Genomic DNA, 12,137 nt, shown 5'->3' with positions numbered 1-12,137 from the left:
TGCTCAGCAGGTCTTCACAGCCTGGCCTTTCTGTCTGCATAGTCCTGCTTCTTAGCAGGTTTATCTCAGGTCACCCAAGGGCAAAGGCAGAAGCTGCAGGCAACACCTCAGGTTCTATTCCATTGGCCAAAGCAAGACCAGCTCGGATGCCAGGGTTAGGAAATAGATTCCACCTTTTGACGAGTCTTGGGAGAGAAATATTGTGGCCATGTTTTTCATTCTAAAATGTTGCTTGACTCTTCCATTTACTTATTCAGCAAATTTTATTTTAAAAATTGGCCCCTTGCTGATACCTGCAACCCACCTAAGGAATGACACAGCCTCACACTTCTGAGGTGACTGCATGATTTGGCTATGAGCTTCCTAGTAGCCATTGTGATGAGGGAAACAATGGTTTTGAATTGTTTTTTGGTATCTAAGCGATTTAAAAAAAAGAGTTAAGAAAAACAGATAATGAACAGAAACAAGTTATTCTGGAAAGTAGAGAAGTTTCTGAGGCTGAATCCTGAGGTGGGTGGTCCCATAGGGTCCCTGCATAGTCCTCAGCATACCCTGCACCCACCACATTAGAGAAGTGGAACACAACAGTCTCTAACACTCCCAGTGGTGGCCAAAGGCAGTGTGATAAGATTCAGGCCCCTAAGAATAAGGTGCCAGGGATTTGAGCATCCTGTGCTCCATGTGTCCAACTCTGAGACACAAGGACAAAGCACTAGAATATTGCACTCGAGCTACAGAAGAATAAACCTAGGTGTGTGGGACTACAGAGGCATGAGCATCTGTCCTAGCTTACCCTCTGAAGTTTGCCCAACCAGCGTCGCACCACGTCCTATCCCTATTACCCTAGACAAAGAGGTGACCACGCTGTGCCTCAGTTTACTTCTGGTGTTACAGTGATATTTTCATGAAGTCACACCTGAAAATCCCTGGGGTGAGCAGTCACTGTGACCTGACATCAGAGGCCAGGGGTCTGGCAGTTGTGTATGGGGACACCCATGGCCTGCCTGATGTGGGGGTCACACAAGGTCACACAGGGTTGCTTGGGGATTACAGCCTGTTTCTAGATGGATCTGGTGGCGCCTGGGTTCCTCACTGAGGACTTGGAGGCTCCAGGCTCCAGGACATTCCCAAGTCCCCCAGCCAGGACCTCAGAAAGGACACTGTTCTGGGTGGGTTTGAGAGGAGCAAGTTAGGGGTGCTGAGAGGTGGGGCTGCTGTTGCCCCTGGAAAGGGGGTCATTTGTAGGCTGATGTCTGTGCTGGGATCCCAGTTCGAGGGTTGCAGGAGCAGCCAGCGGGACCACAGGCAGAGTCGGCCAAGGACTGGTTGCCCCTGACAGCAGCAGAGAGGTGGACAAGGGAGTCTGGGGAGAATGCCACCGGGTGAGAAGTTAGGTTTAGGGCTTTGGTTGGGCAGATTTATGGAAGACATGAAAACACCAGGTTTTGGACAGAGTGATATCTTAATTGGTTTGTGCTGCTACAACCTGATACCTTAGATTGGGCAATTGATAGACGACAGGAATTTATTTCTCACAGTTCTGGAGGCTGGAAGTCCAAGATCAAGGCCCTCGGTGTCTGGTGAGGGCCTGTTTCCTGGTTCATAGATGGTGACTTCTATGTGCCCTCACATGGTAGAGGGGTGAGGGAGCTCCCTGGGGTCATTATTATGAGGCCCTAAGCCCATCCTGAGGCTCCAGCCTCATGACCTAACCACCTTCCTGAGGCCCCAGCTCCTCATACCATCACCTTGGGGTTCAGGTCTTCAACATAGGAATTGGGGGTAGGGGGGCGGGTCACAGACATTCTGACCATGGCAATGATGCAGAAAAGCCCAGTTTGAGGTGGGCTGCAAAGGGAGACCCGCGGCCGGCTCTTGCAGTCCTGCGGGGGTGGAGCAGGTGGTGTAGACCCAGCTTCCTACCTTGGGGCCCCAGTGGCCCTCAGCAGCATCGTGAATCCCTTCATGCTAGGTGTAGTGTGTGTGGATTGTTCTCAGGGTTTGTAGCTTCATCAGATCATCAGGGCTGCTCGACCGCCGAATGTGAAGGCCAGGGTTTCCTTGTCCTATGCTACAGCAGCTCTCTCTGCGTGTCCTGGTCCCCAGGCTGCCCATTGCCCTGATGAAGATGCATGGTGGAGCTTGGGCCTGGAATGAGGGGGAGTGGAAGGAGGTGAGTGCAGAGATGGACAAGGGCCCCAGGGAGACTGGGGCCATAGGATGCTGTGAACTTTGATGGAGGCCTCAGAGATGTAGAGCAGGAGGGCTGGCCTCTCGTAAGATTGGCTCCTGTGGCTCTTGTTTTAGCCCCTTCCAGCCCCCATCCCTGCCTCTTGTTCTCCATTCTCTGCATAGTCCTGGGGTGCGTAAAGATGATGTGACGAGGCTGAGGCACCGCCCTGCACCAGAAAGTTCTTGGAACTCGCCAAGGGCACATTCCTAAGATGCAATGTTGTGAAGCCACCTCTGCTGTCCCTTGGAGAATTCTCCCGCTCCCATTATTAAAAATCTGAACATGTGTCTTGATGTCTGTTTATTTATTTATTTATTTTTTGTGAGATGGAGTTTTGCTTTGTTGCCCAGGTGTGAGTGCAGTGGCGTGATCTTGGCTCACTGCAACCTCCACCTCTCAGGTTCAAGCAGTTCTTCTGCCTCAGCCTCCCAAGTAGCTGAGACTACAGGCGCGCGTCACCATGCCTGGCTAATTTCTGTATTTTTAGTAGAGATGGAGTTTCACCATATTGGCCAGACTGGTCTCAAATTCCTGATCTCATGATCCGCCCACCTTGGCCTCCCAAAGTGATGGGATTACAGGTGTGAACCACCACGACCTGCCTGTCTGTATATTTAAATATGCATTAAACATGGGGTTGGAAGAGTGACATGGGAGGTCTATATACACGGGCGTTGCGAGATTTGCTTCTGCCTTCCAGTGCTTTCCCTTGGGCTCCCTCTGGGGAGATTTCGGCTCTGGGAGATTTGCGGCCAGTTTTGCCATTACCAGGTGAGTGGAAGGGCTCGAGGGGGTCATGCAAAGCTTCCTCCTGCTCATGGCCTTGGACATAACCAAGGAGGGCTTGGACTTGGACCCTGAGCAGGGTTTTCCTGCAGGTGTACACAGAGGAATGTCCCATAGGGTGGCTGTGTGGGAGAGTGGGACCCTGGGGAGGCAGAGCTGGGACCCTCTGCTGAGGGGGGCCCCAGGCAGTGGGCCTTGTCCTCTCCTCATGCGTGGGAAACCTGCCCAGGGAGGCTGTGGTTATTTTGTCCCAGTTTTTCCATCGACGAAACAGGAGTCGGTGGAAATTTGCAAGTAGGTGATGGGAGAGGTGGGCCTGAACCCCAAGTCCTTAGAATGAAAACCTGGGCCTTTCTTGGTCCCTGCAGGTGTGCTCCACTGCAGGGTGGGGAGGTGCTGGGGTCGGCCTCTTTGAAGTTGGGCTGATGGACACAAAGGGGTTGGGGTTGGTGGAGGCACCCACTCTTGCATGGAGGAGGGTGTGGGACCCTCTGCCAAGTGTCAAGTTAGCCTGAAATGAGGCACAGACTGGGAGCTTTGCTTTTTGCCCTGGGGTAAGAATAAAAGAAGAAAACAATGCAGGCCGAGGAAGCATTCCTAGGAGGTGGCGCAGCCTCTTTGATCCTCCTCGGCACCGGCTTGCTGTAGCTTGCTCTTATCAGGACGGCAAATACCCTGTTTCCTTTTATGTTGGGAACCTACAAGAGGCTCTGATGCTAGAATCGGGCTCCCTCATTCTTGCCTGCAGGAAGCAGTGTCCTGTATACAGGCGTCAGCACCCACATGGGGGTGGACAGTGGAGGGCCAGCCTGGGCCTGCCTCGTGTGCTCAGGCCTCCTTGGTGGGGGTGGGAGTGGTGCAGAAGTTCTCGTCATTTGTCATTTGCCAGAGGGACGATGGGCAGACAGCAGAGATGTCCCGAGGCCTGCTCACCGCAGGCCTTCTACGCAGCCCTCTGGAAAAGAGGCCATCCTTCCAGTTTGGAGACTTCCTCTGGAGAATTCCATGACACACATTCTTGAACTGTGGATGTAATCCAGTAAGGCGTGGTTCATGGCATGTGGTGTGGAATAATTCATTGTTGGACAGTTTGCTCTAGGAATGGCGTGGCCTCCCTACCTCCTCCCACTACATGCTAGTGGCCACCCCAGTGGTGGTGATGGTTAAAATGTCCTCACATTTCCAAATGTCCCCAGCGCCTCCAATTATTAGTAGGCAGAGAAGTCAGTTGGCACTTAAAAAAACAAACTAGGATGAAAAATCCCAGAGAGTATTCTGCCAGTTGCCACGTCATATTCCCATAAAACCTTCAGTTATTTACCCATATGGGTGCTTTACCTGGTTGTTACTTAAGATAGATTTCTGTATGTGTTGCAAGGAAAGGCATTGCAGAAATGGACAGGACCATTTTTTTCGTTCCACATTGTGACTCTTCCTTTCCTGTATTTGAAAGATTAAAAGATAGCACCCCCTAGATGGGTGAGGGTTGGGTTAAATAGTAGTGTTGGGACAGAAAGGTCCATTTGTGAGCTCGCTGCAGGCAGGTTTGATGGTTCTGGTGGAAGTAGCCTTGGCGGCTGCTGGTTTTCAAAGCCTCTGACAAAGCTGTGCATATCACCCGTGACTGCACCCTGAGGAAAGACGAAAAGTCAGCCTCTCCCTTACGTAGGACGCTTGTAAACTTTCCCAGACGCACTGTTGGTCTTAAGGATTGTTCTGACCCTGGACATTTGCAGGACTTGTCCAAGGTGGATCTGAGCCTCCTCATGTGCTCCAGGCAGAGATCAGGATTCGGATGCATCACCAACTGGTGGAAGATGGGGACTAGGCACCCTGCACACCCTGCACAGGTCAGGTTCTGTTGCTCCCCGCCCCCGCTGCTCCTGGTTATCGTCTGTGGGGGGCATGGCTTGGTGGCAGGGACTGGAGGACAGAGGGCTGGGAGTAGGGCCTCTTGGCTGCAACCTGCCCTTCTGCCCAGCACCGTTGCATTGAGAATCGCCAGGTGCCATTCCTTCCTTGCATGCCATGCTCACTGTACCAAAGACTTGTGGAGTTTTGCCATTTGGGTTTATGGGAGGTTGCATTCCCCTCAGCCCAGCCAGTGAGAGCGGGCAGCGTCTGGCCTGGGGCCCGCACTTTGCAGCCCCTGAAGATCTCAGCTGTTATGCCTCTGCTTTGCTTCCCTCAGCTTGGGAAGCTTCACTCGCCCCTGCCCCCAGAGTGTGACTCAGATGTACCCACTGACCGGAGGAACTTGTTGGGAGGAAGTCACAATTATGGGCTTAGGGAAAGAAAAGTCAAACAACCAACAAAATAATAATCATGCTCGCCTGTGGATTGGGCCTAAGGGATGTGGGGCCCTCTGTCGTCCTCGGTTCCCTACCTCAGAGCTTCAGATGCCCAGACTCAGGCCGGAGGCTCCTAGGGCCCCAGGACAGGCAGAACACCCACATTCATGGGGGTGCAGAGTTGTCCCCAGATGGCCTGGAGAGACCCCTGCTCAGGGGGTCTTGGCCCTTAGTGTGTCTCAGGATGAGGACTCTAAATAATCTATCTGGGAACCTCCTTAGAGTAGCTGACTTGTTTTACTAAAGGTAATTTTTTAAAAATCACGTTTTGATTTTAAAGTGTCTCCAGGATCTTCTGCAGTTTACTAGAACCTCTTACTGCTCAATTGTCAACAGGGTTATTCTACAAAAGAGGGCATGTGGGTTCAAGGAGAATCTGAACATGGGATTCACACACTGAACTCCAACTGGTTGCCTCCGCCTTTGTGTGTGTTTATATGCGTATGTGTGTATGTAAGTGCACGTTCCTAAATGTATATGTACACAAGTGTATGTGTGTCCACATGAACACACACATGTATACCGTGCATGCATGCATGCACACCTACATGTATGTGTCTATGTGCATGTAATGTGCATGTGTGTATTATGTGTGTGCAGGCTTACTTTGGAGATACTGCAGTTTGGTGCCAACTGGACCATTGCAATAAAATGAATATTGAGATAAAGTAAGTTGCACACATCTTTTAGTTTCCCAGTGCATATAAAAGTTGATTATACTAAGCTGTAGTTATATTAAGTGTGAAAATGGCAGTATGTCTAGAAAAACAATGTACATGTCAATTTAAAAATGCGTTATTGCTAAAGAATGGTAACAATCATCTGAGCCTTCAGCAAGTTAAAATCTTTTTGCTGATGGAAAGTCTTGCCTACAAGTTCATGGCTTTGGACGGATCAGTAGCTACTGAAGGTTGGGGTGGCTGTGGCAATTCCTTAAAATAAGACGATGATAAAGTTTGCCACGTCAGTTGACTCCTTCATGAAAGACTTCTCTGTAGCATGTGATGGTGTTTAATAGCATTTTATCCACGGTAGAACTTTTTTCAAAATTGGAATTAGTCCTTTCAAACCCTCTTGCTGCTTTATTACATTTACACAATTACATTTGTGTAACTTTCTTTTTTTTTTTTTTTTGAGACAAAGTCTTGCTCTTGTCCCTCAGGCTGGAGTGTGTTGGCATGATTTCAGCTCACTGCAACCTCCGCCTCCTGGGTTGAAGCGATTCTCCTGCCTCAGCCTCCCAAGTAGCTGGGATTACAGGCGCCTGCCACCACACCCGGCTAGTTTTGGTATTTTTAGTAGAGACAGGGTTTCACCGTGTTGGCCAGGCTAGTCTGGAACTCCTGACCTCAGGTGATCCACCCGCCTCAGCCTCCCAAAGTGCTGGGATTACAGGCTTGAGCCACCACGCCCGACCACATTTGTGTAATTTTCTAAATATTTTGTTGTTATTTCAATAATATGTACAGCATCTTCTTTATCAAGGGTAGATTCCATTCTTTTTTTTTTGAGACAGAGTCTCGCTCTGTTGCCAGGCTGGAGTGCAGTGGCGCAATCTCGGCTCACTGCAACCTCTGCCTCCCGGGTTCAAGCGATCCTCCTGCCTCCGCCTCCTGAGTAGCTGGGATTACAGGCGCACACTACCATGCCCAGCTAATTTTTGTATTTTTAGTAGGACGGGGTTTCACCATGTTGGCCAGGATGGTCTCCATCTCTTGACCTTGTGATCCACCTGCCTCAGCCTCCCAAAATGCTGGGATTACAGGTGTGAACCACCGTGCTCGGCCCGATTCCATCTTAAGAAACCACTTTCTTTGCTTATGCATAAGAAGCAACTTCTCATCCATTAAAGATTGATCATGCGATTGCAGCAATTCAGTCACATCTTCAGGCTCCACGTCTAGTTCTAGTGCTCTTGCTGTTCCCAGCACATTTGCAGCTCCTTTCTTCACTGAAGTCTTGAACCCTCAAGATCATTCATAAGGGTTGAAATCAACTTCTTCCAAACTCCTGTTAATATTGACAATTTGACTTCCTCTCATGAATCACAAATGTTCTTAAAGGCATCTGGACTGTTGAATCTTTTCCAGATTTGTTTTTTTTTTTGTTTTTTTTTTTGAGATGGAGTCTTCCTCTGTCACCCAGACTGGAGTGCAGTGGCGCAATCTCAGCTCACTGCAACCTCTGCCTCCTGGGTTCAAGTAATTCTCCTGTCTCGGCCTCCCGAGTAGCTGGGATTACAGGCACCCGCCACCATGCCTGGCTAATTTTTGTATTTTTAGTAGAGACAGGGTTTCACCATGTTGGCAGGTAGGTCTTGAACTCCTGACCTCAGGTGATCTACCCGTCTTGGCCTCCCAAAGTGCTGGGATTACAGGTGTGAGCCACTGTACCTGGCCCAAAATGTATTTCTTAAAAAGTAAGACTTGAGGGCCAGGCACAGTGGCTCACGCTTGTAATCCCAGCACTTTGGGAGGCCGAGGTGGGCGGATCACCTGAGGTCAGGCGTTCGAGACCAGCCTGGCCAACATGGTGAAACCCCGTCTCTACTAAAAATACAAAAATTAGACAGGCTTGGTGGCAGCCTCCTGTAATCCCAGCTACTCGGGAGGCTGAGGCAGGAAAATCGCTTGAACCTCGAGGTGGAGGTTGCAGTGAGCCGGAGGCTGCAGTTAGCCGAGATTGCACCATTGCACTCCAGCCTGGGCAAAAAGAGCCAGACTTCATCTCAAAAAAAAAAAAGTAAGAGTTGAAAGTCAAAATTACTCCTTGATCCATGGGCCATAGAATGGATGTTGTGTTAGTAGGCATGAAAACAACATTCATTTCTTTGTACATCTCTGTCAGAGTTGCTGCATGACCACCTGCATTGTCAACAGGTAGTAATATTTTGAAACGAATCTCTTTTTTTCTGAGCAGTAGTGTCTCCACAGTGAGCTCAACAGTAAGTCTCAACAGTGAGCTTAAAATAGTCAATAAACCATGTTGTATGCAGAAGTTCTGTCATCCAGGCTTTACTGTTCTATTTATAGAGCACAGGGAGGATAGATTTTGCATAATTCTTCAGGACTCTGGAATCTTCAGAATGGTAAATGAGCATTTGCTTCAACTTCCAGGCATTAGTTGCCTTAGCCCCTCACAAGACAGTTAGCCTGTGCTTCGAAGCTTTGAAGCTTGACATTGACTTCTCCTCTCTGGCTATGAAAGTCCTAGGTGGCATCTTCTAATAGAAGGCTGATTTTGTCTGCATTGAAATCTGTTGTTTAGTGTAGCCACCTTCATCAATGGTCTTAGCTAGATCTTCTGAATAACTTGCGGCAGCTTCTACATTAGTACTTGCTGCTTCACCTTACTCTGCTATGTTATGGAGACGGCTTGTTTACCTAAACCTCTTGAGCCAACCTCTGCTAGCTTCAAACTTTTCTCCTGCCGCTTCCTCACCTTGCTGAGTCTGCATAGAATTGAAGAGAGTTAGGGCCTTGCTCTGGATTAGGCTTTGGCTTAAGGGAATGTGGTGGCTGGTTTGATCTTCTAATCCAGACCATTCAAACTTTCTTTGTAACAGCAAAAAGGCTGTTTTGCTTTCTTATCATTGGTGTGTTTACTGGAGCAGCACTTTTAATTTCCTTCAAGAACTTTTCATTTGCATTTGCACCTTGGCTAACTGTTTGGCATGAGAGGCCTGGCTTTTAGCCTGTCTGAGCACATGCCTTCCCCACTAAGCTGACTCATTTCTAGCTTTTAAGAGATGTGACTCTTCCTTTCACTTCAACACTACTGGTTATTAATTGGCCTGATTTCAGTGTTGTTGTGTCTCAGGGAATATGGAGGTCCGAGGAGAGGGAAAGAGCAGTCCAGAGCATCAGAACACACAGAACGTTTATCCATTGAGTTCGCAGTCTTATATGGATTTGGTTCATGGCACCCCAAAACAATTACAATAGTAACATCAAAGAGCACAGATCACAAATAACCATGAAAGATATAATAATAATGAAAAAGTTTGAAATATGGTGAGAGCTTCCAAAATGTGACACAGGGACCAGAAGTGAGCTCATGCTTTTGGGAAAATGGCACTGACGTGGGGTTGCCACAAACCTTTAGTTTGTTAAAAAAAACTGAGTATCTGCAAAGTTCAATAAAGCAAAGCACAATAAAACGAGGTCTGTCTGCCTGTGTGTGTCTTGTTGATTTCTGCAACGGAGGCAGAGAGTGATTTTTTGTTGTTATTTTTCTTCTTGTTTCTCCAGGCAAATTGTTTCTCGCCTTCACTCATGTGCCAAGCTCTAGACGGCTTCCTGGCTTGGCAAGATTACTGTTAACGCATCCCTAAGCATTCCTTTTATTTGTTAAATCCCTGTTATTCTGTTAGAATCTATCTTGCAGCCAAAATAGCCTCAGGAGAAAAATAATGAAAAAAAAAGAAATGAATTAGGTGTGCCAGAAGAATGTGATGGGCGTGGGGAGGTTTATGCAGATAAATATGGTGGGTAAGAATGCCGCCCCTTTTCAATGTCTGTTTAAATGTTTCCATTTTCCTTGTAAAAGCACTCCAACACAAGAAGTGCATTTGCAGAGAGGCCAAGGATCGCTCCCGGTGGACACACGGTTTTGTAGCCTCCCTCTCCACCCCACCCCTGCCCCGCTCCAGCTGTGCCTTAGCAGACGTCATTCCCTGTTATTTCAGTCTCTGCAAGTGCAAGAATTTAGGGTGATAACAGCCATACTTCCATTCCATGAATTTGCACACTTCTTACTCTCTACTTATCTAACACACATGTGCACAGTGTGAACCTTGGTCTGCTGACTTAACTTTGCCTGTGTGGGGTGTTGTTTCTCTCCTGTCTGTGGACACTTACTGAGTTGAGATTCACAGGTGTGGAAAGAGCAGGGTCTGCAGTGCGAATGTTTTCGTAGTTCTCATTGTAGACTGTCCAATGACTTTTCAAAGTGCTCCCCAAGGCATGAATTATTCCACTGGGGGTCTCCTTGCCTGTAGTTTTGAACCCTGACCCAGCCAAAGGCTCCCCTGCTCCTGGTGGCTATGCTGGAACTCTAGCTCCTTCCCTTTGGCCTGAGGTGGCCACACCCAGGGCTCCAGCCACATGACGTTTTGTGCCCTCACCCACCTCCTCCGTGGTCTCCCCATTTGCTTAAGGAAACACCTGGAGTGAGACAGAACCATCCAGTCCATGGCTGTGCCCCACTGGGCCTCCACCTTCAGGACGTGCCCAGGGTCTAGCCACCTGCTTTTGCTCAGTTCCCGAGTCCAGCGGCAGGAAGTGGACACCAGGCCAGCCTTCTGCCCGGGAGCTCAGGTGCTAGAGCTTGTCTGCCCTCTGTGCAGCAGGGAGCCCACCTTGCCCATTTGAGAAAGAAGCAGGGGCACTCCGAGGAGATGCTTCCTGAAGGAACCGGGTGTTTTAGGAAGATCTTCCTGGCGCTTCCCACAGGTCTGGTGAATGCTATTCACCCAGGCTCCCAAGAGGCTGAGCCCCTCCTTGCCCTTTTTCTGAGTGAGCTCATGTTCCTTGGCTGGGTGCAGACTTGGGAGATGTGCTCAGTCACTCCACAGCAAAATTCTGTCTCTTTGGGGTGGCATGACTCCTCAGGAGTGGGGTAAGACTGTTTAGGAATGACCAAAACTTAGGTCTGTTTTGTTTTGTAACTTTGTTAATATCCCATGGGCGTTTTCCATATAAGTGAATATGGATGTGATTATTATTTTTAGTGACTTCATAGTATTCGAATCCCATTCTATGTTAGTACCATAAAATGACCAGAGCCCAGTTGCTGGCTATTAAAACTGCTTCCAGCCTTTTTTGTTGTGCATAATTCTGTACCCTGCCCTTCCACGTAGATCTTTCCAGGCATGGTCATTGCCTTAGAACACATTCCTTGAAGGAGAATTGACCATTGTGATATGTGTTTGAAATGAGAACATAGAGATTTTGTTCTCATGTGCCTTGCCCATTGAGACCCTGCTGCAAATGTGTCTTTGTGCTTCTATCTCCTGGTCCTAGCTGTCTTGCTGTGGGACAACTAGGGACAGCATCTTGCTTACATGAGGTTGGGAAGGTGAAGGTCAGAGGGACAGCAAGCCAAGGTTACCGCCTTACAGGACGGATCCTGTGGTCTGGCTGCTCACCCATTTGTTCTACGCGTTTATCTTTTGCAAAGGGCTGTGCAGTTCACCAAGCCCTCTCCATACATCAAGGCTTCCTGTGGACATTGCTGGCCATGGAACCATGGGGCCGTGTTTCTATTCCCATTTCCCTTCTTCCTTCCTTCATTAATTCAGCAAACAGGCATGGACCCCTTCTCGCGTCTGGGCCTTGGATAGGTGAAGGGCAGGGTGAGGGTGCAGGGCTTCCCTGTGATGTAAGAACTTTTGTGGGGCCCTGAGGCCTGGGGCCAGAAGACCTTGCCCGATCCACCCTGAGAAGGCCTCGCAGGGGAGACCTCAGTGTTGCATTTGGGGACCAATGTTTAGCTGAGTGGGGATGGGTGGGAGGGATGGAAGAGGGGAGAGGAGACCAAGGCATGGGTCTGGCACCCCTGTCAAGAGCCAAACGAAGTAACTAGGTTGTGGGGATGGGGTGGGAGGGCGGGGACGTGGGTAGAGTTGATACTGCAGTGTTCTGGTCAGAGCATGAAAAACCTGGAATGGGCCAGTAGGTGGTCTGTGTGCCAGGGCCCATCAGGAGTATCATTCATTCATTCAGCAAATCCTTAGCTGTGTTCTAGGCAGGGGGATCCCTCTGAAC

General features: G+C 49.1%; 1 protein-coding gene across 12 annotated transcripts in view, besides 2 other annotated features; it reads left to right on the top strand.

Annotated features, from left to right (window-relative positions):
• TNS3 (tensin 3) overlaps positions 1 to 12,137 on the top strand; it is a 307,433-nt gene that overhangs the window by 20,681 nt on the left and 274,615 nt on the right. For 4 of the 12 annotated variants that reach the window (XM_047420724.1, XM_047420725.1, XM_047420723.1 and 1 more), the window contains one exon: positions 4,756 to 4,869. The exons of the other annotated variants lie outside the window; for them this stretch is intronic. In XM_047420724.1, the coding sequence (XP_047276680.1) occupies positions 4,756 to 4,869 (114 nt within the window). Of the gene's footprint in view, positions 1 to 4,755; positions 4,870 to 12,137 lie in introns of those variants that run through there. 12 annotated transcript variants of the gene reach the window in all.
• Positions 3,388 to 4,115: an enhancer, noted in NCBI's record as "NANOG-H3K27ac-H3K4me1 hESC enhancer chr7:47597389-47598116 (GRCh37/hg19 assembly coordinates)". NCBI's record gives its function as "activates a minimal SCP1, AML or CMV promoter by ChIP-STARR-seq in naive H9 embryonic stem cells {active_cell/tissue: H9 hESC(naive)}" and the evidence as "EXISTENCE:reporter gene assay evidence [ECO:0000049][PMID:30033119]".
• Positions 4,844 to 5,572: an enhancer, noted in NCBI's record as "H3K27ac-H3K4me1 hESC enhancer chr7:47595932-47596660 (GRCh37/hg19 assembly coordinates)". NCBI's record gives its function as "activates a minimal SCP1, AML or CMV promoter by ChIP-STARR-seq in naive H9 embryonic stem cells {active_cell/tissue: H9 hESC(naive)}" and the evidence as "EXISTENCE:reporter gene assay evidence [ECO:0000049][PMID:30033119]".

Source organism: Homo sapiens, chromosome 7 (assembly GCF_000001405.40).
Source record: "Homo sapiens chromosome 7, GRCh38.p14 Primary Assembly".
In the NCBI taxonomy this organism is placed as follows: Eukaryota; Metazoa; Chordata; class Mammalia; order Primates; family Hominidae; genus Homo; species Homo sapiens.
The sequence above is the reverse complement of the archived record's forward strand: the minus strand, read 5'-3'. Positions and strand labels throughout refer to the sequence as shown.